At 39.4% G+C, this 27,771-nt stretch overlaps 1 protein-coding gene across 2 annotated transcripts in view; it reads right to left on the reverse strand.

Annotated features, from left to right (window-relative positions):
- The window catches only part of MAOB (monoamine oxidase B), a 115,841-nt gene continuing 91,358 nt past the window's right edge, over positions 3,289-27,771 (reverse strand). For both annotated transcript variants that reach the window (NM_000898.5, XM_017029524.3), the window contains exons 9-15: positions 18,127-18,223; positions 17,021-17,074; positions 15,361-15,418; positions 11,854-11,951; positions 5,986-6,097; positions 5,333-5,395; positions 3,289-4,297 (exon numbers count right to left, since the gene is read on the reverse strand). In NM_000898.5, coding sequence (NP_000889.3) covers positions 4,145-4,297; positions 5,333-5,395; positions 5,986-6,097; positions 11,854-11,951; positions 15,361-15,418; positions 17,021-17,074; positions 18,127-18,223 — 635 coding nt within the window. In that variant the 3' untranslated portion in view covers positions 3,289-4,144. The remainder of the gene's footprint in view (positions 4,298-5,332; positions 5,396-5,985; positions 6,098-11,853; positions 11,952-15,360; positions 15,419-17,020; positions 17,075-18,126; positions 18,224-27,771) is intronic.

Here is a 27,771-nt window from a genome sequence, read left to right on the forward strand (position 1 = left end):
AGGGAAACTGTATCCAACCAGTTAATGCTATCTCAACTAAAATCTAGTAAAGAAGACAATTGACACTTTCAAAATGAGTATGCCAAAAATTTAAGTTGGCTCTCTGCAAAACAGCATAGGAGCATTCTGTTTGCTGAGTAAGTATAACAGGATTGCTAATTCAGAATTAAAATAAAAATTACAAGAATCCATTCATTTATTATTTTTTAGACATTATGATGGCTTAGGCACCACAGGAGGTACGGAGGATGAAAAGATGAATAGAAAACTGTCTCTGCTCTCAAGAATAGATGATAATAATACCAGTGTATTGAATGGGATGTAAATAAATCACTTTATTTTTTGTCTTCCACTGTTCATTTAAACCTGCTCAGTGAGGGAAGTTTCTCCATTTCTTGCATTTGAAAACCCTGGCAGGTCTATGACTCTATCATCAATTGCTCTTAAATAACAGACAATCCTATGACTTCCTTAAGCCACAAACCACAGTCTCAATTCAGTAATTTTGATGTCCAGTACTGTGGAATGATCAAGTCTCTGAACTTGATTTAAAGCTCAGTCTTCTCCCCTCTTCCAGTTAAGACCAGCTTCAGGGGCAGCTGTGCCATCTTGCAAGGGACATGTGGTAAGCTTTTCCTTTCCTTCTGTACTCCTTCCTTCCTTAGCTTGCCAACCGTGGATTCTGGGACTTTATGGGTTGAGTGTGGAAGGCAATGAGGGAAAGTGGTTTACTGAACACTCCTACTTGACTGTTCCTCTTATAAGGTAGTTTTATATGATCCAAGCCTGGCTGTTATGAGAACTAACTCTTTCTTGTGAGGACACTTTTGGGTGTTTTTTTCAAAGACTCTCCCTCTGGCTCTAACCTTGACTGCCACAAAACAGGCAGTGCCTCTCCTTTGGGTAGCCAATTTTAATCCCTGCTTAGCTTGTTTTCTGGCAGTTGCTGTGGCAGCCCCTAACTCTCTGGTCAAAACTATCTCAGCAAACTATTGCAAGGACAAAAAACCAAACACCGCATGTTCTCCCTCATAGGTGGGAATTGAACAATGAGAACACTTGGACACAGGAAGGGGAACATCACACACCGGGGCCTGTTGTGGGGTGGGGGGAGGGGAGAGGGATAGCACTGGGAGATATACCTAATGCTAAATGACGAGTTAATGGGTGCAGCACACCAACATGGCACATGTATACATATGTAACAAACCTGCACGTTGTGCACATGTACCCTAGAACTTAAAGTATAATAGATAAATATATATATATATATACATACATACATATATACTACCTCGAGCAGAATCGAGGTCTTTGATTCTTCAGAGGTACGTGAAGCTCTCAAAGGGGTTTTCTTGATGCTTCTCTCACTAGACTTGGAATGAGAAGGCAGCCCCCCCATCCCTCCCTTTTGTGCTGTGTTGGACCCAGAGAATGGCAGCTCTCTCTCTAAAGAGATCTGTACAAATCTGCCCCTTTGAAAACCCTCTCTACTCCTTTTATATTCTCAAAACTGGTGAGGGGTTACAACAGAAAACAAAAACACGTTTTTTATATCTTTCCTTTGAAGTTCTCTATTTTTGTCTATCTCAGGACTCACCTTGGTAGCTGATATTTAATGTAACTTGGCACCTCAGTCAAATCATGTAAATTAACACGACACAATTGCAGTATCATGTGGTCAGCACAGAACAAGAGGTCAATGTATGTGACATTGGGAAAACAAAGAAAAGGGGCACCTCACTCAGCTGGAGAATGAGTGATCCAGGACATTTTTGGAGAAGGTGATTCCTTTTCTTTTTTTTTTTTTTTTTGAGACAGAGTCTCACTCTGTCACCCAGGCTGGAGTGTGATCTCGGTTCACTGCAATCCCCGCCTCCCAGGTTCAATCAATTTCCTGCCTCAGCCTCCCCAGTAGCTGGGACTACAGGCACGCACCACCATGCCCGCTAGTTTTTGCATTTTTTATAGAGATGGGATTTCACCATGTTGCCTAGGCTGGTCTCCTGAGCTCAAGCGATCTGCCTGCCTCAACCTCCCAAAGTGCTGGGATTACAGGTGTGAGCCACTGTGGCCAGCCCTTGACTCTTTCTTAGCAGATGCATTAGAGTTAGCAATGAGATCAACTTTTAGGGAGACTTTTTTGGAGAAGATGCTCAAGAAGGCACCCCATGCCATGTACATTTTTAGAGAGAATAAAAAAAAATGGTTACAAAGAAAATCTTGGTGGGTTTCCCATTTAGTATCTGCTATGGATTGAATGTATCCCCCAAAGTTCATGTGTTGGAACTTTGATCCCCAGTGCAGTGGTGTTGGAAGGTGACATCTAATAATGAAAGATGTTTGGGTCATGAAGGCACTGCTTTCATAAATGGGTTAATACTATTATCATGGCAGTGGATTTGTTATCACAGGAGTGGATTCCTTATAAAAGGATGAGTTTAGCCCTCTCTTGCACTCTCTCACCCATGTGATGCCTTCTGCCACACAGCAAAAAGGCCCTCACAAGATGCCAGTTCCTTGATCTTGGACTTCCCAGCCTCCACAATCATGAGTCAATAAATTTCTGTTCACTATAAATTACTCTGTCTGTGATATTTTGTTATAACAAACAACACAAAATAGAGTAAGACAGTCCCTAAATTTTCCATAAACTCATACATGTTAATGCCACTGTAAAATCAGAAACTCTATACTATTATTAATTAATCTTGGGAGATTTCTTCAATTTCACTTATGCTAAGAATAAGCTTCATTTTTTAAACAAAAGTATAAGAATGGCCATTTATGGATTTAAAAAACATACCAATGAAAACTGACGGTGGGAGTCGAGAGGTATGAGTGCTTTGAAATGATGATACCATTTAAAAAATAGTCCAAATAGAATTTAATGGACTGTGAAACTGCAGTTTCAAATTAATGAGTGTACCTAGTAAAAAGCTTTGCACCAAGAAGGAATATGAAATGTCAACTGAAATATTATAATTAGCTTAATAGTTTAAGCATCTTGCTTATTAATATGTCATTTATTTTGGCAGGTATTTTTTGGGGTAGTGAAGGCAAGGAACTGCATCTTTTAGTATTCTTACCATATCTTTATAAATCATTTTCAGCATGCTCACACATATGCCACCCATGATGGATCATGCAATCAAATGCATGCATCATCCAGGCTTCAAGGAAATTTTGACTAAATGCTTTCAAGTCACAATTATATACTTAATACTGGATCTTGATTTGATGTGTCCAAAGCTTGAAAGTCATTACCCAAAAAGAAAGGACAGCAGATATGGTCAATCAACTTTTATTTTTAATTACCCAAGTGTGTACTGTCCTTTGTATGAAGATACAATGGAGGATACAAAAGGAAGAAGAGATAAAATTTCTACCATCAAAAAAGTTAAAATCAGCTGGAGACACACCGCACAAAACAGTAAGACTTAAGGCTATATACTGAGTAGCATTTGAGAAGTGTAAGACAACTTAGCACAGAGTAAACCCACACAACGGGACACCATCGGTAACTATGACAGGGAGTGAAGGAGGATAATTGGGGAAAACATCCAAAGAGGTGGGAAAAGCGTTGGATTTGTGTTCTAGTCCCCCAGATACCAGTGGCTTATTGTGGCTCTTAGGTAATTAAGTTCCACCTCTGTGGGCTTCAGTTTGCTCAACTCTAAAACAGAAGGTGAGGACTAAATGGTCTTTACTGTCTTTCAGCTGTAACAATACAGTATTCTAAGGACGAATGCAAAGAACTAGGGAAGGTGAGGCTATTACAGGTAAGAGGAAGAACAAGCACAAAGCCATAATGGTAGGAAAAAATTCATTCCTTGTGCATGGGCAAGGTGTGTTGTGGGGCAGCAAGAACCTTAAACAAGCCAATTTAACTATTCTAAAGATTTTGAGGGCAATAAACTTGGAAACTGGTGAAACAGAACGCTAAGCCAGGTAAGGGACACTAAGCAGGGGCCACAACGGAGAAAGAGATACCATGTATTTTACAGTCAGAGTTGGATTTATCTTCATGCTCCCCGCCTCACTCCACACTATTTGTCTTCATGGAACTTTACTGCAACTCTTTCCCCAAACTCATATCCCAAATACAGTAAGAAGAGAGTGTGATTACAGACACCCTCTCTCTTTAGACTCTCACAAGTAGCCCCCTTTTGTGGGCCAGGAAGCCAAGAGCCGTTGCTGAAAAGATGGTGGTCAATCCAATCAGCCTGAGCAGGCCTGGCACGGAGGGCAAATGTCTCTCCAAAAAGGTGGTGGTGATGGGCTGTGCAGGGACATCCTAGGTTCAGAAAACATTGGGTATTAGTACAGGGCTTGTGCACTTTATTCCAGAAAGTCTGTACTTTCTCCAGCTCTCTGAACATGACCCATTCTTGCCAACGTCTAGACCAGTAAACACGATGTTCCCTCTGCTTATACTGTTTACCCTGTCTTCCTCACTGGACCCTTCACTTCCTCAGGGAGGCTTTCTTTCCTGAGACCCCAGCCTAGGATGACATTCTCCTTTTGCATTTTTTCTCAGCATGTCTTCTTCACTGTTCTGTACTTTTTGGTTATCATCTGCATTCTCCACCAGATGTTGAGCTCCACAAAAATGCTGCTGTGCCTTTGCCACAATGGCTGATACAGAACACGTGTGCCATAAATACTTGTTAGTAAATGAATCAATGGTCCCTACAGCCCACAATCCCATCCCTGGCAGAAGCACTAAGAGAATGACTGTGGAGTGGCAGGCCTATTCTCTTTGACTTCACACTTAAAAGGATAGAGCAATAATTCTGACCTTTGTGACTTTGTCCTCTAAAGTGCGTTTGCACTCTAACCTCTATGCATCCCTCCTTCCAGCCAGGAAAACTTCCTAGGATTTTATTACAAAAATGATGAGTATATTAAAAATAAAATTTTAATCTAAATATTCTCCATTTCATTCCATTTGTTTGTCCCTGGACAGGAGATGCTAACACACTTTCCTTTCTTTTCCTACCTCATGTGGAGAATCACCAGGCTAGATATTTATTTGACAGGCATTTATTGAGTTATTATTTTTAGAAGTCTCCGAGAAATGTCTCCCTCCTCATCAAAAAATATTTTTTCCTAATAATCTGTAATGAATGTGACAGCTACAAATTTATCAAAGTTCATCTAAATCTCTCACCTCTACCCTAACCCATGATACTTATTTAAACATTCATGTTTAAATCACTTAGTTGAATCACTTAGGAAAAGGTATGTGAATATATACAAGTGTGCTCTTCTTGAAAATAATGGGTTTAGAGAAAAGATATCTAATTTCATGAAATAAAACATAGCCTACCACAGACTCTGGTTCTGACTGCCAGATTTCATCCTCTGGAATCTTCCCCATGGCATGCAGGATCTGAAATGAAAGAACACACTGGCAAATAGCAAAAGTGACACCATCTTTCTTCTAATCTGCTCCCTAAAGGACTAAGTAACTGTCTCTTGAGATATCCATCAAAAACACCAAGGTAAAGGCCAGAACACTCCATACAACCTTTAAGAGGCGCCAAAAGGTCTTTCTCCTGTGGTATAAGAGGTTCCAATCATTAGGCTTACCATAAATTTTAATAGTTATGAACACACCTCAAATAGGGATGACATCAGAGGAACTGTCAGAAAATCTTTCCTGTGAAATGAATTGAATTTTGAGTCCTAATAGAAGCATGTTTGGTTCTAGAATATCAGACCTAGGTTACCTTTCAAGTATAGTCAGGTTGATCGTTTGCCCCATGGGCTCTTTTTACTTCGGGTGACATGTTAGGTATTTTCATTATTACTTCGGGCTAAGGTGTTCACTTCACCTGAGACAATAGTTAAAATAGTATTTTATGGGTCTTAAGATGGGGGTTACTGGAGAGTTGGTCTCCAGGCTCTCAGATATCTTTGACCTACATGTCAGGACCATGAGTTGCCTCCTTCCCCATAATCTATGACCCCAGACCCTACCTCTCGGGCTGCTCTCTCCCCGGCCTCTACAGCCCCCTCCATGTAGCCGCTCCAGTGTGTGGCAGTCTCGGTGCCTGCAAAGTAAATCCTGTCCACTGGCTGGCGTAGAACCCTTGGAACAAAACCAAAGAGGCAAAAGTGGTCAGTCTCAGAGAGTCAGAGAAAAGTTTTCCCATAAAGACCAATGCTGGTCAGCTTCCACAGATTCTAAACAATCAAGAAGGACATTGGCAATTTTGGAATAATGTTTATGTGGTTCCTCCAGCTCTTACATGATCCTTGTCACAAACAAAATAGAATAAAAGCCAAAGTTCACTCCTGCACCAAGAGTTGCAGGTGAAGGAGCTGACATTAATGGACGTAAATTATGTATTTGCTTCATCAACATGAAGTGAGGGACTGTGTAAGCCCAGTCACATGGCTCCCTTTATGGCTCACTGGCTCTGTGGCAAGGTGATACATGCCCCCAATTCCCCACTGGCTATTCCACTAGTGAACTTGGCAAATCACTTACTCTCACTGTGCTCTGGCTTCCTTGCCTCTTAAAGGGAATGGTCCACTGATTTCTAAGACCCTTTCAATCAGTAACATTTAACAAATCTGAGAGTCTGACTATGGCTCCATAACTCCTATTCCTTGAACACTTGCCTGTACTGGTGAGGTCGGTACTATTATTATCACCATTTTGCAGATAAGAATATGGAGGTAGACTGTGGTGGACATTGTGATGAACCACGCAGGCCCCCTTCAAGAATGAAAGACTTATTCCCAGCTGCTGGGAGTGCTGCCAGAAGAGGGCCTACTGATGTCAGCCCTCTTTGGAGATTGCCTCTGCTAAAAAAAACTATGTTACCTACTAGGTCATGCCTCCTTCCAATAGCAGTTGCATCCAGTGACTGATCACCACGGGCTGTAAATACCTGATTCCCAAGCTCCAACTTGAGACCTCCCACTCTGAAGGGCCATTCTAGTTCTGGAACTTCCTCTGGGGTCAGCTGAGGCCTTCACTGGAACTGCACTGCAGCCCAAGTTCTCCCTATGCCCACTCCTGCTTCCTTCTCCCTTCCACAGCTGCCAATCCTAAGGGCATGCCTTAATATATATCCTGTCTGCTAATCGTTGTTTCAGGGTCTGCTTCCTGGAACCTAACCAGCAACAAAGACAAAGTAATTTGCTCTCGGTCACAGCTAGTAAGTAGCAGAGTTGGTATTTGAACACAGGCAATCTGACTCTGGAACCTACAGTCTTAACCACTTAGTTATACTTCCTCTCTCTACTGCATTATTTCTTCAATCTATTAAAGAACTCTGTGATGTAGCTACTATTATCATTATCTCATTTTTACATATGAGAAGACTGAGGCTTGGAGAAATGTTCAGTGATATGCCAAGAGCCACACTCCTAGAAAATAGCAAAGCCAGGATTTGAACCATGTCTAACAGATGTCAAAGTCTCTATTTTTATCTTATATTCTTTGCCTGGTGTATCATCACCCTATAATATTTAATAGTTAGTAGACTGCCCACATGCTATACAAGGGACTGAAATGTCATAGCACTTGGCCTGTAAGAGGGGCAGTTCATTGTTGCTCTGACAAAAATACCATAAGGAAAGCACCGTCAACATGCCATTATTCATCCTGTCTCATGGTTCTCTTATATCTGATAAGCGATGTCAAGAACTAACATCCATGTTCCATCTTAGTCAACACTGTACACCACTGGGCCTTTTATTAGAAAACCAAATGAGCTGGCTTGCATTGGTGGGTTTTCTTTCACCTGCTCTGATTGTAGTCATCACAAAAAGGAGAAGAAAATACAAGGAGAGATATTATATAGAATACAGATGGTCTCCAACGTATAATTGTTAACTTTATGATGGTGTTAAAACAATACACATTCAGTAGAAACCATACTTCAAGTACCCATACAACCATTCTGTCTTTCACTTTCAATACCGTATTTAAAACTTGACATGAAATATTCAACCCTCTATTATAAAATACGCTTTCTGTTAGATGATTATGCCCAACTGTCGGCTAATATAAGTGTTCTGAGCACGTTTAAGGTAGCTAAGCTAAACTATGATATTCAGTACATTAGGTGTATTAAGCGCATTTTCCACTTATAATATTTTCAATTTATGGTGGGTTTATTGGGATATAACCCCATCATATTTTGAGGAACACCTGTATTAGTATATTGATGACAACACATGAAATATATAGAGAGCCTAAGGGTACTCAGGAAGGAACCCTTCCTACAAGAGAAGGTGGATTGACTTTCCCCGTGTTGATTAAACAATGCCGTTTTTCACTACATGTTTACTTTTTTTTCAATGGAGAAAACTAACCCCAGCTGGAGACCTCTAGGAGGCCTGGCTAGACCCTAAGAATGAAATATTAGAAGACAGAACAAAGGCTTAGAGAACTAATCATACTATAAATCAGAATATGTGAAAACCAAGAATTAATTTTAAACAAAGAGATAGTTTCCCGCCACTTGTCATTTGGAAATTATGTTCCTTTAAGGGAAAAAAAGAGTCCAACAACCAGGTAAGAAAAATACCTGCCCCTTCTTTTGCAGGTGCGTGAACAGACAGTATATATTTACAAAAGATATAGGACATCATAAAGGGGAACTCCACATATATTTCTTGTGGCTTATGAGTTTTACTGCATAATCACGACAATCATTTTTTTCACCCTATCCAGAAGAAACATTTCTTAAGAAATGTATATTTAGTTCTTTACCAAGTTGTACTGGTAATTCTGTCTTCTCTTTTCCTTCAGAACATGTACTGTGAACTTTCAGGGCTCTGAATATAAAACTTATTGCAATATCTTAAATACCATGGCCCTGAAGGGTCAAGGGAAGTCTTCTGGGCAGGTAGTCTCTGTTCAAGCTGGGAATTATGTTAAGCTATGCTGTGCCTTAGTTTCTACCCTAAAAATTGAAGGTAGTTATAGGAAGCCTGACATATATCCCTGGGAAGGAATAAAGATAAAAGAAGGCATTACTGTATCACCACCAATGCCAGATACAATGGGATTTATCTTGCTTCTCTCACGTGGTCAGGATCAGGCCAGTTCAGGTTAGTGTCCTCTTTGTTCCCCAAACCAAAAGGTATTTATGAAATTGAGCATAAAACCCACCACTCTGTGGTCAGAAATCTAATCATATCACACTTCTGATTTAAAACAAAGCCAAAAACAAAAGTAATGCAGTGATAGCTGTTCTCTGTTGAAATATCAAGTTTTGTATTCCTGAATGTGTCATATAGGGCAAACTGTTCTTCCTCCCCCTTTGATCTGATTCTCCATTCTGTCCTTAATATCACCCATAGCCCATCTGATATAATATTTTGATATTTGTCCCTGCCCAAATCTCATGTAGAATTGTAATTTCCAATGCTTGAGGTGGGGCCTGGTGGGAGGTGTTTGGATCATGGGGACGGATCCCTCATGGCTTGGTGCCTTCTTCATGATAGTGAGTTCTAGCAAGATCTGGTCACGTTAAGAGTGTATGGTACCTCTCCCCACCACACTTGCTTGTTCCTGCTTTCGCCATGTGACTTGCCTGTTCTCACTTTGCCTTCTGCCATGATTGTGAGCTCCCTGAGGCTTCACCAGAAACTGAGCAGATGCCAGCACCATGCTTGTATAGCCTGCAGAACTATGAGCCAATTAAACCTTTTTTCTTTATAAGTTCCCCAGACTCAGGTATTTATTTTAAGCAATGCAAGAATGGCCTAATACACCATCCATGCAAAGTTCTTCCCCAGACTTTCCAGAAACCTGTGGGATCCTAGCGTTTTCCTCATGCCATTCCATCTGCATAGACTGCATCCCCAATAGCCTTTCTCTGCCTCCTACAACCCTCAGGTGGTATGTGCATTATGAAGCCTTCCCAGATTTCTCTAAGTAAAGCTAGCCTGTGCCTCTGTGTGTTCCAGTGGTATCTCTATGCCCCTGTATTAGAGCATTTACCTCAGTGGTAACATTCTGAGTGGTGATACAGTAGTGCCCTCCTTTATCCTTATTCCCTTCCAGGGACATATGTCAGTACTTTAGAGTCAATTTTTGATATCATGTCCTCTCCCCATCCCCACCCTAGCCCTCAACACTGTCAGCTCCTTCTCAGCAGGGAGGCTGTCCTTGGTATTGAAGTTCTCAGCACAGTGCTTCGCAAATGGTTGGCACTTAGCCAATAAATGCAGAATGAAACAAATACCATTGACATATTCTACACTCAGTGATACGATTTGGCTCTGTGTCCCCACTCAAATCTCATATTGTAGCTCCCATAATTCTCATGTGTTGTGGGAGGGACCCAGTGGGAGATGAGTGAATTATGGGCGGGGGTCTTTCCTGTGCTGTTCTGGTGATAATGAATGGATCTCACAAGATCTGATGGTTTTAAAAACGGGAGTTTCTTTGCACAAGCTCTCTCTTTGCCTGCTGCCATCGACGTAAGATGTGACTTGCTCCTCCTTGCCTTTTGCCATGATTGTGAAGCCTCCCCAGCCATGTAGAACTGTAAGTCCAATAAACCTCTTACTTTTGTAAATTGCCCGGTCTCAGGTATGTCTTTATCAGCAGTGTGAAAATAGAGTAACACAGTCAGCATATCTAAAAATTAACTTAATGACCCAGCAGCTTATCAGGTGCTGCCCCTTGGCCCCAGAATGTTCTCTTGGATAATATTTTGCCATCTTTAAGCAGGTAAAGAAAGTGCTAACCAAAGTTATTACGTATCTTCTGATAAGCAGGTTTTACTCCTTATTCGACCAGTTTTCATGGACAGATTGATTAGCCATTTCCACTTACCCCCTCTGTTTGCTGCATACTTTCAACAGTCTTTGACTCACTAGTCTACATTTCTCATCCTGTTTAGATTAAGCTTTTGGCATTAAATTATTGCTTGGTTTAGTAATAGTATAATAGTCATAAAAATCACTGCTATATTATTAGTTCATTTATTGTCATCAAATAAATTAACTAAACAACAACACACTTGGATGTATAATGCTGTGAATGCTAAAAGCCATTGAACTGTGCACCGTTTTGAATAGGTGAATTGTATGGTATGTGAATTACGTCTCAATAAGGATGTTAAAAAATAACTCATACTTCCCAGCATCTAAGGATTAGGATCAAAAAATAAAAAAAACTCATACTTTCTTGAGCATACTGATTATTGCTCACTTTTCATCATTTTGTGCTTTCCCATCCACTTGCTAAGAAAGTGAGGTTCAGAAAGGAGAAGTGACCTGTTTGGCATGACAAAGTTTGTTATTGGTAGAATCAGAGCTGGGACCCAAGTCTCTTCATGCCCAGTCTAGAACTCATTTTGTTTTTATAATTTTGTCCCCGTGTTGGCAGTTGTACAGTGGCATTTGAGGAAGTTTTACTGAGTCCTAACTCAGTATAAGGACACTTCTTCTGACATTGGGTGAACCCTTGGACTACCTAAAATGCTACTCTTTTTTGATTTTTAATTTTTATGGGTACAGAGTAGGTGTATATATCTATGGGTACATGATGTGTTTTGATACAGGCATGCAATGCGTAATAATCATATCATGAAGAATGGGGTAAAATGCTATTCTTATGCTGAAACCTTCTATGGTTATATTGATTGGAATTGCTCTTCCAGGGAAAAGCAGCACCATGATGTATGTATAATTATAATGATTTCATTCATAAGATACACGATTTCATTCATAAGATACAAAGGAAATTGGGTTGTTTTTTTTTTTTTTTTTTGTATTTATAAGAAACAAGGGAGAAGAGCTACCTGAACCTATTTAGGTTTTGGATTCAGGTGCAGGGGATTTCTGTAACAGCTTAGCATGCTTTTACTCTACCTTCCATATTGAGTCAGGATCCCAGGGGGGAAATAAGTTGTGTAGCAGCCCCCAGAGTACTGCTCCTCACACCAGTTCTTTTCTTCATAATGCACTGGCTGCAAGATAGAGCAACAAAAACTTGAAGGAGACTCAGAGAAAGCTATTTAGCCTAGAATAAATCGAACAGTTTAGTAGGCTTTGTATTGTCAAACCAATGTATTTCGGAAATAGAGTTGCATTATCCTGATGTTTTTAAAGATATGTCTTTGGGCAGGTAAATGTCCTTGGTAATAAGCTTCTAAGAAATTCAGATCTTAGAATGTTTTTTTCATTTGGTTTCTTTGTATCTTAAGTACTGTTCATAAATTGCGATAATCTAATTCCATTTTTACCTTGGTTTTACCTATTAAAAAGTTTTAGTGCCTGATGGTTTCAAGAAAAGTTTTTAAAAGGATTTATGTTTACTGGAGTGACTGGATAGGAAAAAAAGACAGAAAAATATGTCTGTTGAAGAAAAAGGATTATCAGGTTCATGTTTTGGTGGAGGTGAGCTTTCTTGAGGGAGGCTGAACAAACATGTTTTTGTGGCAGGCAAGCACTTCTGTTGATGGTGGTATTTGTAAACAACTATTGGTCTGAAAAATATGTTTTTGACACGAACAGGAAAAATTGGCAGAGATTTTGTAAAGCTCAAATGCTTTTTTAAAGTAACCAAACAGAAGCTTTATCATTAAGCATTACTTCGAAAAGATAAAATCAACGTAGCAAGTTTTAAGAAAACAATGTTTGTTTTAAAGGGAGATTTTGAAAAACATTTTGTTTAAAAGAATTGCAATCACACAGCTGACTTTGGACAGTCATTTGTAAGGCATCCTATTTACAAAGTATGATTATGAGGTTCTGCCTGATGGGTTAAGTGGCTCCAGGTCTTCTGTGGTATCACCACGCTACACGCCCCAGCACCTGACGGCTACATCCACCTCCTAAGCAAGCTTCTCTGGCTGTCTCCAGCCAATCAGAAGAAAAGTTGGACTTTATCTTTCAATGTATCTTGTTCCCAGGAATTTCTTCCTTCCACAAAATAGACACCAAAGCAAAAAGAAAACAAGTGGCCTTCTCTATGCCAAGAGCAAACAAGGACAGGACCAACTTATTTTTATCATCAGGAATTAATCATGCACACCCTTCTTAGGAAAAGAGACTTTCTCAAATGAAAAATGATCAGCCTTTTTCAAAATATGAGGACAAATGCTTTCCCCTTCAACTGAAGTTCCCCAAACAACCATCTCACGAGTTGTTGCAGGAACTTCAATTAACAAACTGCTTTAGCCTGGGAGTGCCTCAGAATGTAACTTCACAAAGCTTGAATATCTACCAGGGTGAAATATCTTGAATGGCTTTTTTTTTTAAATCAACTCCACACTCTTTATTCTCCAGACCTCTAGCACTGAATGGCATTTTTTTTTATTATACTTTAAGTTTTAGGGTACATGTGCACAACGTGCAGGTTAGTTACATATGTATACATGTGCCATGTTGGTGTGCTGCACCCAGTAACTCGTCATTTAACATTAGGTATATCTCCAAATGCTATCCCTCCCCCCTCCCCCCACCCCACAACAGGTCCCAGTGTGTGATGTTCCCCTTCCTGTGTCCATGTGTTCTCATTGTTCAATTCCCACCTATGAGTGAGAACATGCAGTGTTTGGTTTTTTGTCCCTGCGATAGTTTGCTGAGAATGACGGTTTCCAGCTTCATCCATGTCCCTACAAAGGACATGAACTCATCATTTTTATGGCTGCATAGTATTCCATGGTGTATATGTGCCACATTTTCTTAATCCAGTCTATCATTGTTGGACATTTGGGTTGGTTTCAAGTCTTTGCTATTGTGAATAGTGCCGCAATAAACATACGTGTGCATATGTCTTTTACACTGTTGGTGGGACTGTAAACTAGTTCAACCACTGTGGAAGTCAGTGTGGCGATTCCTCAGGGATCTAGAACTAGAAATATCATTTGACCCAGCAATCCCATTACTGGGTATATACCCAAAGGATTATAAATCATGCTGAATGGCATTTTTAAACAGAAAAACTAATAATTTTTAACAGATGTTAAGTTCTGTTTTTAGTGAGTATATACTGTATTTTTTGTCTTGATACTTTACTCAATATCCTTGAGCCTGGAGGCTATGCCTATATTTAAACTTGCTAATTGGTATATGAAAGCAAAAAAAAAAAGCAAAACATATTCCTCATTAATATTGTTTCTCTAATTGTTCTAGTTTATTTGCTGAGAAAGAATTCCAAGAAACATCAAGAGCATGTGTTTCACCTGTATCAAGTACAGAAGATCTGCAATGGTGGGGCGAGGAGGGAGGGAGAGAATTTTGCTTTAAAATAGTGAACAAAAATGACAAATTTGAAAGACACAACAACTTAACCAGGAGGAAGCAAGTCACTCCAAAGCTGAGCAAAGTAAGTGTTAGAGTAATAGGACTAAGTCATGTAGCTGCTCAACTAGATTGTGGTATATACTACAGAGACTTGGATTTAAGAGGCTTAACAAGTTAAACATTCTCAGCCTCCTCATTAGACTTTTCTCACGCATTAACTGCTCATTTGTACATTGGTCTCCATTGTCTTCAAATGCTTCACAGATAATTGGATTTAATAATCACTTTCAAAAGGTGACATAGTCTATGTCAAAACATTAAAAACTTAGCAGTCTGATGAATGTCATGAGAACACCAATTCATCATTTTAAATATTGATGAGGGAGGTGATTATGGGTACTTGTTATGAGTACTTTGGGCCCTCTGACTGTCACCAAATGCCCCCTACCCTGCCCCTATCCCACCTTTAACCACCTTAGAGTTCTACTTGATTCATTTGAAGATCACCGTTTTCTCAGGCTACTTCCAAAGGTGTCTAGAAAACTCAACTGGCATACAGACAGACAGCCTGTCTTCTTTACATCTCTCATGTTCAAGGGTAAAACAAGGCAGAAAAGAGGGCATGCAGGAGTGGGGACAGGTAATCTTATTTTTTTACTGTGAGACAGTGGGGGATGGGGTAGGTATAGGTTTATGTACCTGAGTGAGACTCTGTCCTTCTTACAAGATCACCAGAGAGGGGAAAAAGCCCTTTTCATCCCCATCCTGGCTACCAGGATCTAGGATCTTCCTATGGGTAGTAGAAGCTCCCCTCTTTTACCCCCCTAACAGAACTGGAAGCAGAGTGACCCAATGCCCTCTCCCAGGAAGAAACTCTGAATTCAGGGACAATGTAGCATCACCTAAACCACAGCATATTGCAAGTTCCCTGACCTGCCACCAGCACAGCCAGGGCCCACACTCTCTGGAACCACTTGTAAACTGACCAGTCCTGTGTAGATGCCTCTGCAAATATATTGGGAAAAACATGAACTTCAGGACCCAACTTGCATTAACCTATCCCTGCTAGTCACTTGGGGACAAAGAAAGGCCTCTCACCCTTAGTATAGGGTTGGGAAGCAGCCTTACCTCCAGAGCTTCTAGGGAACCCAGAACCTTGGCATAGAGTTCACAAAGTTTCTTCAACCTGTGAATGAAAAGAGACAAAAGAGAAAATAAAGGAAAGAAGGGAGGGAAAAAAAAAGTGGGAAAGAGGCATTTATCCCCTCATAAAAAAGATTCCATGAGCCATTGATTCCACTCCAGCATTTCATTTTAATTTTTTAAAACAAGGCATTTTGTTCCATTTCAGATGTCTTAAATCTTTGAGGTCACAAATATTAATCACACAGGATTGCTGGTAAGTCTTTAAGAAAGTAAAGTGACATGTTGCCTGAATCATGGTATTATTTTATTATTTTAAATCCAGGAGCCCTTTTGTTTATGAACAAAATGTTTCTGAAACAAATGTTTATGAAAATGCCTAAGTTCTTCTCCCTCCCTCTCTTCTTTCTCTCTCTTTCTGTCTTTTTCTTTGTTTTTATACAAATGATGTAACTTGCCACAAGCAGAGGAATGGATAGAAAGAGCAAAGAAATAAGTACAGAAGTAGAACCAAATATATAAGGAAATTTAGAATTCATAAAGGTGGACATTTTGAACCCACAGGGAAAAGACAGTTTTCAATAAAATGGCACTGGGACAAATAGCTGCTCGTGAAAGAAATAAAGTAGGATGCTTACGTTATTTTCTTACACCAAAATATGTTTCAGAAGGATCAAAGATTTACATATAATAGGTCAGACCATAAAACGAGTGGAAGAATGGGTGATTTCTAAAAAATTATCTTGGAATGAGAAAGTCTTTTCTATGTATGATAGATACTCAGAAACCATGGTTTTAAAATGGATAAATTTGATTACATAAAAAGATAAAATTTTATTATAGTATAAAATGAATAAGCCATAAACAGGATCAAAAGGCAAAGTGGGAAAAGATTTGTTCCAGACACTGGAAACCCAGCAGTGAGCCAATCAGACAAAACATCCTACCTTCATGATCTTATATTCTAGTGGGGACATTTTTAGGGAAGAGGCCGAGGCAGACCGCTACGGCCCTGGCTATGTGCAGAGGTAACATTGGTCATTGAGGAGAACCCTGATGGAATCGGAAAGCATGCATCATAATATAATTCAGGAGCTCTTTCCTGGTAAATAGGTTATTAGCAGTGGTGTGGGAATAAATAATTGGCACTGGTGAACACTAATTGCAAGAAGAAATTGCCACCTCCAGAGGAATTAGTCCCACTGTACCTATAATCTGTAATTGTTATGCATCATTCATGTAGTATGTGTACAGCAGACTTCCCCACAACACAGTAATTTTTCTCCCTGGTTTATCTCCTTCACAAGCAAATTTTCAGCCCCTGGGTTATATCCATTTTCATATTCTCCGTAGCCCCTAGCATGGTGTCTTATGTACAATAAACTCAATAAATATTAATTTGAATACTTTGGTTCTTAAGTTATCAGCACTATGTCTTTTACAACAAGACCCTTATAATTAACATAGCAAACACGTAGCACTGGCAATACACATATAATTAGGCAGTCCGTAAGTTAAAAAGTTAAGTAAAAATGAAAGGCAGGCAAGTAGGTAGAAAAGAAGGAAAGAAAGAGAAAAGGGAGGGAGGGATGGAGTGGGGGGGAAAGGAAGGAAGAAACGAAAGAAGCAGCATTTCTTTTGTTACCTTTCCTCTTTGGTAAGACGTGCCAGTTTTCTGGCTTTGTGGGCCAGGATAAATCTAAAGAATATAAACAAGAAAAAGGGGAGAAATTAATGGTTGGTTTCATCCTAGCCTCATTTTCGTAGCTACACATGTGCCCAGTTTACACAGTTAAGTCAACCAAAAGAAACAAACTATACACTAGCTTTTCTTACGTTCAAAGTTTTATGATTTACATATCAAATTTCTGACACTGAAGAGCACTTTCTAACTTCAAGGAATCAAGCGACTAAAAGTAGATGACTGGCCATAATTTTTGCCTTGGATAACACTATGGCTGACCCACTTCCCCTCACCCAGCTGGTGGTCAATAAGAATAACCCTTGGGCCTCAGATGCCCACTTAAGGCTATGTCTGAGCTCTTCCAATTTCATCCAGTCCTTGCTCTTTGGTTTTGTCTCCACCATGGTGTCTCCCTAGCACCCAACCTTCTAGATTCCATCTCCATTTCTAGCCCCATGATTGCTTTCAACTAACAATTAGCTTTGATCTCTCTGTTCTGACTGTTGGCTCTCTCTGAGATAAACTCATACATGTCCTGAGGCCCATCTTAATTTTGGATACTCCAGGTCACCACCTCTCTGGGCCAGGATATCCTGGTCTTCCCTTCCCACGTGCTGGTCGTCCCTGGAAAGCTGAAGACTGGGCTGGTCTTGGCTCTTCTCTACTGGGACTCAGAAATCTCAGCATCTCATTTAAGTAACATGGATGCCCACACAGCCTCCACAAGAAGTCTCTTAGTAAAACACCCCAAGTCAGGTCTTTTTATCATGCTTTCAACAAAAGATGGGTCACCTAAATATGTCTACCCCCAACACTAAATACTAATAGAAAACTAACATAAAAATTTTAAAATGTTATTGGTATTCTGCTTCCTACCTAGATATTTATTCATTGGAAGACATTATTTAGAAAAGAACCAGTAATAATTTTTGTACCGCTGAATTTGAAAAATAATACCACTGGGTAAAAAAAAAATCACTTAACAAAGTTTGGGGCACATTTGTTAATAGTATGTGATTATCTTGTCAACACTGAATAGCAGCCACAACACCATAATTGTGCCTTACCCCATTATGGCAGCATAGTTGCCTTCAGGTTTGGTATCATCCAACGTGTAGGCAACTGGAGCTTCTTCTCCATCAATAATCATGGTTCCACAGTAATCTTAGAGAACAGCAAAATGGAAGAGCATATTCATCACTCTATCAAAATATCCATTACAGATATAATGAAGTGCATGTTTTTAAACTTGAGAAGCCCAAAGGCCAAATAAAGCATGTTATACTCCAAACATATGAAGGCAAACCAAACTGATGTCAAAGGAGGGATAAGTAGCCAGCATTTTTTGAAAAAATCAAACCATAAGCCCTTCTCTGCAAAGAATAAAGCATATGATATTAGGAATTCATCCAGGTCACCGTTTAATGAAATCTGGTTCTCCTTGCAGTTAATACTTGGGCTCCCTGTTTTCTCTTTCATAAGAAATCAGAATAAATCCAAAGATGTGTAAAGGAAATACCAGTTCATTACTGTAAAAAAGAAGAGACTGAACACTGACACTTTATGAAAAGTCACTTATTCTAAGTAGTTCTTTATTATCTGGAGGCAGTGTTTAGAGGGAAATTTATAGCACTAAATGCCCATAAGAGAAAGCAGGGAAGATCTAAAATCAACACCCTAACATCACAATTAAATGAACTAGAGAAGCAAGAGCAAACAAATTCAAAAGCTAGCAGAAGACAAGAAATAACTAAGATCAGAGCAGAACTGAAGGAGACAGAGACACAAAAATCCCTTCAAAAAAATCAATGAATCCAGGAGCCGGTTTTTTGAAAAGATCAAAAAAATAGACCGCTAGCCAGACTAATAAAGAAGAAAAGAAAGAAGAATCAAATAGATGCAATAAAAAATGATAAAGGGGATATTACCACTAATCCCACAGAAATACAAACTACCAACAGAGAGTACTATACTATAAACACCTCTAGGCAAATAAACTAGAAAATCTAGAAGAAATGGATAAATTCCTGGACACATACACCCTCCCAAGACTAAACTAGGAAGAAATCGAACCCCTGAATAGAACAAGAACAAGTTTTGAAATTGAGGCAGTAATTAATAGTCTACCAACCAAAAAAAGCCCAAGACCAGACGGATTCACAGCCAAATTCTACCAGAGGTACAAAGAGGAGCTGGTACCATTCATTCTGAAACTATTCCAAGCAATAGAAAAAGAGGGACTCCTCCCTAACTCATTTTATGAGGCCAGCATAATCCTGATACCAAAGCCTGGCAGAGACGCAACAAAAAAAGACAATTTTAGACCAATATCCCTGATGAACATCGATGCAAAAATCCTCAATAAAATACTAGCAAACTGAATCTAGCAGCACCTCAAAAAGCTTATCCACTATGATCAAGTCGGCTTCCTCCCTGGGATGGAAGGCTGGTTCAACATATGCAAATCAATAAACGTAATCCGTCACGTAAACAGAACCAATGACCAAAACCACATGATTACCTCAATAGATGCAGAAAAGGCCTTCGATAAAACTCAACAGCCCTTCATACTAAAAACTCTCCATAAACTAGGTATTGATGGAACGTATCTCAAAATAATAAGAGCTATTTAGGACAAACCCACAGCCAATATCATACTGAATGGGCAAAAGCCGGAAGCATTCTCTTTGAAAACCAGCACAAGACAAGGATGCCCTCTCTCACCACTCCTATTCAACATAGTATTGGAAGTTCTGGACAGGGCAATCAGGCAAGAGAAAGAAATAAAGGATATTCAAATAGGAAGAGAGGAAGTCAAATTGTCTCTGTTTGCAGATGACATGATTGTATATTTATTATCTGGAGGCAGAGCAGAGAGGACATGTATAATTGAAATTCATAGAGTCCCAAACCCTCATTTCAAACATGACCTCCAAAGACTCTTTCCCCTGTCAAGAACAACTTGAGAAACAATTTCAGCTCATCCTGGATAAGAGTGTCTTCCTCAGTTCCCTCCTGAACAAAATACAGGCACACCTCAAAGATAATGTGGGTTTCATTTCAGATAATGGAAATAAAGTGAATATTGTAATAAAGCAAATTGTGTCACGTAAATTGCTTGGTTTCCCAGTGCATATAAAAGTTATATCTACACTACACTGTAGTCTATTAAATGTGCAATAGAATTATATCTAAAATATGTACATAATTTAAGCATACTTTATTACTAAAAAAGCTAACAATCATCTGAGCCTTTAGTGAGTTGTAATCTTGTTGCTGGTGGAGGGGCTTGCTTCAATGTTGATGGCTGCTGACTGATCAGGGTGGTGGCTGCTGAAGGTTGGTGTGGCTGTGGCAATTTTAAAAAAGAAGACAACAACGAAGTTTGCCACATCAATTGACTCCTTTTTTTATGAAAAATTTCTCTGAAGGCTGCGATGCTGTTTGATAGCATTTTACCCATGGTAGAACTTCTTTCAAAATTGGAGTCAATCCTCTCCAACCCTGTCACTGCTTTATCAACTAAGTTTATGTAATATTCTAAATCCCTTCTTGTCATTTCAACAATGTTCACAGCATCTTCACCAGGAGGAGTTTCCATCTCAAGAAATCACGTTCTTTGCACATCCATAAGAAGCAACTCCCCATCTATTTAAGTTTTATCATGAGTTGGCAGCAATTCACTCACATCTTCAGGTTCCACTTATGATTCTAATTCTCTTGCTATTTCCACCATATCTGCAGTTACTTCCTCCACTGAATCCCTCAAAGTCACTCATGAGGATTGGAATCAACTTCTTCCAAACTCCTGTTAATGTTGATGTATTGACATCCTTCCATGAATCACGAATGTTTTTCATGGCATTGACAATAGTGAACTCTTTCCAGAAGGTTTTCAATTTACTTTGCCTAGATCCATCAGATAGGCAGGAGGACTGTAAGGCAGGTATAGCTTTACAAAATGTATTTCTTAAATAATAAGACTTGAAAGTTGAAATTACTCCTTGATCCATGGGCTGCAGAATGGACATTGTGTTAGCAGGCATGAAAACAACAATAATCTCCTTGCACATCTCCATCAGAGCCCTTGGGTGACCAGGTGCATTGTCCATGAACAGTAACATTTTGAGAAATCTTTTTTCTTCTCAGCAGTAGGTCTCAAGAGTGGGCTTAAAATATTCAGTAAACCATGCTATAAATAAATAGGCTGTCATTCAGACTTTGTTGCTGTTTGATAGCATTTATAGAGCACAGGCAGAGTAGTCTTAGCATAATTCCTAAGGGTCTTAGGATTTCCTGAATGGTAAATGGACATTGACTTCAACTTAAAGTCACCAGCTGCATTAACTCCTAACAATAGAGACAGCCTGTCCTTTGAAGCTTTGAAGCCAGGTGCTGACTTCCTTTCTGTAGCTATGAAAGTCCTAGATGGCATTTTCTTCCAATATAATGCTGTTTGGTCTATATTAAAAACCTGTTGTTTCCGGTCGGGTGTGGTGGCTCTTGCCTGTAATCCTAGCCCTTTGGGAGGCCAAGATGGGCGGATCACTTGAGGTCAGGAGTTCAAGACCAGCCTGGCCAACATGGTGAAACCCCGTCTCTACTAAAAATACAAATATTAGATGGGCATGGTGGTGTGTGACTGTAACCCCAGCTACACGGGAGGCTGAGGCAGGAGAATCACTTGAACCAGGGAGCCGGAAGTTGCCGTGAGCCGAGATCGCGCCACTGCGCTCCAGCCTGGGTGAAAGAGTGAGACTCCATCTCAAAACAAAACAAAACAAGACAATCTGTTGTTTAATGTAGCCACCTTTGTCAATGTTCTTACGTAGAACTTCTGGATAACTTGCTGCAGCTTCTTCATCAGCCCTTGCTGCTTCACCTTGCACTTTTATGTTATGGGGAGGAGGCTTCTTTCCTTAAACTTCATGAACCAACCTCTGCTAGCTTCACACTTTTCTTCTGCAGCTTCAACTTCAATTGAAGAGAGTTGGGGGCCTTGCTCTGGATCTAGGCTTTGGCTTAAAGGAATATTGTGGCTGGTTTGATCTTCTATTCAGATCATTCAGTTCTCTGTATCAGCAATAAGGCTGTTTCACTTTCTTATCATTCATATGTTCACTGGAGTGCACTTTTAATTTCCTTCAAGAATTTTTATTTTGCATTTACAACTTGGGTATTTGGCACAAGAGGCCTAGCTTTCAGCCTATCTCAGCTTTCAATATGCCTTCCTCACTAAGCTTAATCATTTCTAGTTTTTGATTTAAAGCAAGAGATGTGCAGCACTTTCTTTCACTTGAACACTGGGGAGACCACTGTAGGGTCATTCATTGGCCTTATTTCATTACTGTTGTGTCCCAGGGAACAGAGATACCCAAGAAGATGGGGAGATCTGGGGGAACAGTTGGTTGACTGAGCAGTCAGAATACATACAGCATTTATCGATTAAGTTTGCCATCTTATATGGGTGCTGTTTATGGAACTCCTAAACAATTACAATAGTAACATCAAGGGCCACTGATCACAGATCACCATGACAAACATAATAATAATGAAAGTTTGAAATATTGTTAGAATTACCAAAATATGACACAGAGACATAAAGTGAGTACACGCTGTTGGAAAAATGATGCCGATAAACCTGCTCAGTGCAGGGTTGCCACAAACCTTCAATTTGTAAAAAGTGCAATTATCTGTAAAGTGCAATAAAGTGAAGTTCAATAAAAAGAGGTGTGCCTGTATATGCAATTTCAAAAGACTGTGACAGGGCACTGGTGAAAATATCAGGGCAGAGTCTGAAATGTTATAACAATATATTACTGCAGTGTCCAACTCCTTCTGCTCCATCATTTACTTGCAAAATTGAGGTTGTTTGAACAAAATTATTGTGGAAGACTCAGCGGCAAATGTTGTATAGAAAACCCAACAAGAAGATTTCAAAATAAGGAAGAAAGAACAGAGAAAGGACCTCCCCAACATGTGTGCATACGTGTGTGTAAGCAGACAAACCAGGAAGCCTTTTAAAGGGAACTTGTCTCTTTCTCGTCTCCTGCACCCCTCCCCACTGTGCACCTGTTAGAATCAATGTCCCAATCTGCCACTGGCTTGAGGGGTGTTTGAATGTCCTTCAGGCATGCTGGGGCAGGAAAAGATGTTGAGAAAGTCTGAAGTATGTGAAGAAGAAATGTTTAAAGTCTAAGAGCTCAAGGTTTAAAAATACAAGAGAACCATCTTAGGAATCCCCTAATATAAGAAGGCAAGAGAGAGAGCAGACAAATAGGACAAGATCTGATCAAAGAACGTGTGCATACTGATCATGTGGGGATCGGTTGGACAGGACCAGCATAGGATGCCAGGCTGGCCAAGGTGGAAGTACTGCTTTCTCGATGTAGGGGCTCCTTGGACACTTCCTTCTCAGAGTGAATCTGGCCTCTGAGTCAAGTGAGTGCACTTAATGGAGGTGAAGGAACAAGGAGCAGAGAGAAAAGTCATGTTCATGCCAGGACAAGCTATGCAGCATGGAAGAGATTTCTGCCACTTGCAGATAGAAAGCTCAAGAGCCCCACCCATGCACACAAAACATCTCATCAGCTTTGTAGGGCTTTACTCTTAGAAAAAGAGATGATATTCAAGGACATCCAAACACTTAAAGAAGTTCTTAAAGAATAAATGCAAAGACAAAGAAGAAACAAATTCACAACTAACAAATGAAACAGAAAAACTATGGGGGGGTGGGTAGGGGGAGGGACCCAATAATTCAGGTAGTAGAAGAAATTTCCCCCAAAGTGCTAACTTTCTCAGAGAGAAAAGAAGCCATTGTAGCTCTGGGAGGTAACAAAGAGGCATGTTCAGAATAAAATAAGTCAATAGAAGCTTTTGTAATGTAGGGGTGTGGAGGCAGGAGCTTTGATGAGATGATAATAACATTCATCTGGATGAATAACTGAAGAAGTTTACCAAGGACAAAATTAAAGGAAAAATAATAATAAGGGAATGTCCTACCTGACATAATATATAACATATTATAAACATATCATAAAGCTACAGATATTAAAACAGTACAATGCTGCCATAGGATTAGATAATATAAACTTGTGCTTTCCAAAGTGGGGGTGTACACCTAGATTGCACATCTAGATAGTGGAAGAAAATACTAGAGATTCTGGTTTTTCAATTTAAGCTTTTTAAAAAGTCTACTTTTCAAATGTTTTATAGTTACAACGATATAATTTTTCAGAGGTACTTGTGTACAATTTAGGAATACCTATAGTGATAGTTTATGTGTACATTTTTTAATAAGTAGAGCTGCAAAAATGTTTAGAACGCAGTGAAAAAGGTCAGTGGAACAGAAAGAATCAATGTGTATCTGAGAATTTAGTAGGGGGAAACCATCATACAACAAATCGTTAAAAACTGATTCACTGGGAGAAAATATTTGCAATATAAACAGAAAAAAACTTTAATGAGCAAAGGTAATTTACAAAATGATACTTTGTTAATGATAAAAATTACAAATTATAGATAAATGAGGCAATTTCTCCTACCTGATTGACAAAAAAATTTTAAATATTATTAGCTGGTGTCTTAGACTGCTGGTGTTGCTATAAAGGGATACCTGAGGCTGGGTAATATATGAAGGAAAGAAGATATTTACTTGGCTCATGGTTCTACAGGCTGTACAAGAAACATGGTGCCAGCATCTGCTTCTCATGAGGGCCTCAGGAAGCTTCCACTCATGGCTGAAGGTGAAGAGGAGCTGGCGTGTGCAGATCACTTGGTGAGACGGGAGGCAAGAGAGAGGGGAGGGAAGTGCCAGGCTCTTTTTAACAACCAGCTCTCATGGGAACTGACAGAGCAAGAACTCATTTATTACCTCAGGGAGGAGGACGGCACCAAGATGTTCAGGAGGGATCTGTCCACATGACCCAAACATTTGCTTTTAGGCCCCACCTCCAACACTGGGGATCAAATTTCAACATGAGATTTGGAGAAGACAGATATGGAACTTATATCAACTGACAAGGATGTGAGAGGACAGACCCTAACAAAAATTTCACAGGTCTACCCAAATCAATTGACTTGATAATTCCATCCTACAGCATTTATCAAAAAGAAATGCTCCTATACAAATATGTAGAGCTATATGGAGGATGCTGTTTATTGCAGCATGGTGTATAATAGCAAAAACATGGAAACAAGAAAAATGACTATCAACAGCTGATGTCTTGGGTAAATTCTGATAAGGCACACAATGAGATACTGTTTATTCAGTTGTCGAAAGGGGTTAGATTTAAATGTACTGCTATGGAGAGATGTCCATGGCATATTGTTAACAGGAAAAAGCAAATTTCAGTGTGATATGTATGATGTATGTTTTTTAAAAAACATGTTTTTGGAAAAATATATTAACATATTTATTTAAAATTAAAGTTATATTTGTATAAAATATTTATTATATTATTTAACATGTATTTCCAGTATATATAGTTCTCTCTACATATATATAGGGATGCTCACACACATATATTTAAAGTACAGGTTGAGTATCCTTATCCCTTATATGAAATGTTTGAGACAAGAAGTGTTTCAAATTTTGGCTCTTTTCAGATTTTGGAATTCTTGCATATACATAATGAGATTTGAGTGTGAGACCCAAGCCCAAATACCAGATTCATTTATGTTTCAAATACATCTTATACACATAGTCTGAAGGTAATTTTATACATATTTTAATAATTTTGTACATGAAACAAAGTTTTGACTGTGACCCATCACATGAGGTCAGATATGGAATTTTCTACTTCAGACATCATGTCGATGCTTCAAAAGTTTCAGAATTTGGAGCATTTTGAATTTTGAGTTTTCAGATTAGGGATGTTCAACTTGTATTACCTATGCATACAGTAAATCTTTAAGGATAAACAATCTAAATTTTTAACAGTGGCCCTCTAGGGGGAGGAACAATAGAAGAGAAACATTTTTCACATACTTTCAGTTTTTGAAAGTTTTATGGTCATTATATTTATTTCTGTAATTTAGAAAAACAAGTACAGCTTCTGCCATTGAAAACATAAATTGAGATAAATTAGATGTAAATATTCAAGGGAAAGTAGAAATGGTTCATAGATGAACAAAAGCAAGGAGACCACAAGAATTCAATGCATTGCTAACAGCCTATCCTTTCCACAGAAGTGGGCTAGAATGAAGGGCTGATGCATCCCGTGTAGGATGGGGTGCTGACGGTGAGGGCGGCTAGACTTAGAATGCCTCAGTGGAAGGCCAGCAAAATATAGGAAGCCTGTCCTTGCAAATTCACAAAGATGTTACACACTAAGAGACTGGGAAGCATTTCCTGGGATAATCAATCTAGAAGCAATCAGGTGCTCTTACCACACACAGGAGATGACCATGTGAGGAAATGGGTATGTTAATTTGCTTGACCACAAGATCATTTCACTATGTACATGTGTATCAAAACATTATGAGGTACACCTTAAATATCTACAATTAAAAATAAAATAAAAGCAGTGTTTAGCATGATGCTGGGATTGGGTGGGGGGTGTGGAGGGGAGAAGCAATCAAGAGTTGGCTACCACTGTCTGTATCAAAATACAAAATGTTACCTTCTCTTTAATAACCCAAGCCACACTGAACTTGTGAAACAAAACAAAGCAACATAAAACCAAAACTCTGGTGATTACTGACTGTGTGCCTGATATGTGCTAATCACTGTGCTGGATTGTTGGGGCTGCTTAATTCATACCCTTCTATCTTGTTACCTCATATTGACTGAGCTTGTATGTTACTAGTTAATTACAGTGTCTTTGGCAGTGATGTTGATAGTCTAGTGCAAAGCAAAGATCTTGTTATAAGAGTGAACTTCTTCAGATTTCATTACAGAAACTTTCAAATAAGTGTCATTGAATACACTTATCAATGTAACAGGAATCATATTGGATGTGAGTCTGGAGCCCTACTTGGTGTTTCTATAATAGCCTAGAACTCAATACATTGTGCAATTACCAGTTTGCATGACTGTCTTCCTCCTGAGCCTGGATTTTCTGGGCAAGGAAAAGTGCCTTTGAATTCTCAGTGCCTAGCACTGTGTCTGGCATACAATAGGCGCCCAGTTGAAGAAATACATTAAAGTTGTAACTCAAAAGAAATCTCAAATGCTTTGGTGAGGCTATCTCATGTCAACAAACTTTTTTTTTTTTGAGATAGAGATGGAGTCTCACTCTGTTGCCCAGGCTGAAGTTCAATTATAGCTCATTCACTGTATCCTCCACCTCCTGGGCTCAAGCAATCCTCCAGTCTCAGCCTCCCGAGAAGCTGGTACCACAGGTGTGCACCACTATGCCTTGCCCACAATCATTTTTTAAAAGTCTTATGCAAGGCTCATTACCAACAAGGACCAAGTCAGATTCTGAGGGGTGGAGGTCTTGGGTTTTCTTTCTGATACTAGTGCCTAACAACTTGCCTGGCACATAGCAGGCCTAAGATAAAGATTTGCAGGCATGAATGGAAAGTTACAGTTTCTCTCCATAAATAAAGGCACCCATGCTCATTCAGAGAAGACTGTATTCCTGGTCCTAAACCTTATCTACTTGCCACCAGCCAGTCATTTAAAATGGGTGGCCTGGGTCACAAGAGGAAGAGATTCAGCACCAGTGTGTTACAGCCATTAGATTCAAAGACTAAAATGACAGGGC

This window comes from Homo sapiens, chromosome X, assembly GCF_000001405.40.
Source record: "Homo sapiens chromosome X, GRCh38.p14 Primary Assembly".
In the NCBI taxonomy this organism is placed as follows: Eukaryota; Metazoa; Chordata; class Mammalia; order Primates; family Hominidae; genus Homo; species Homo sapiens.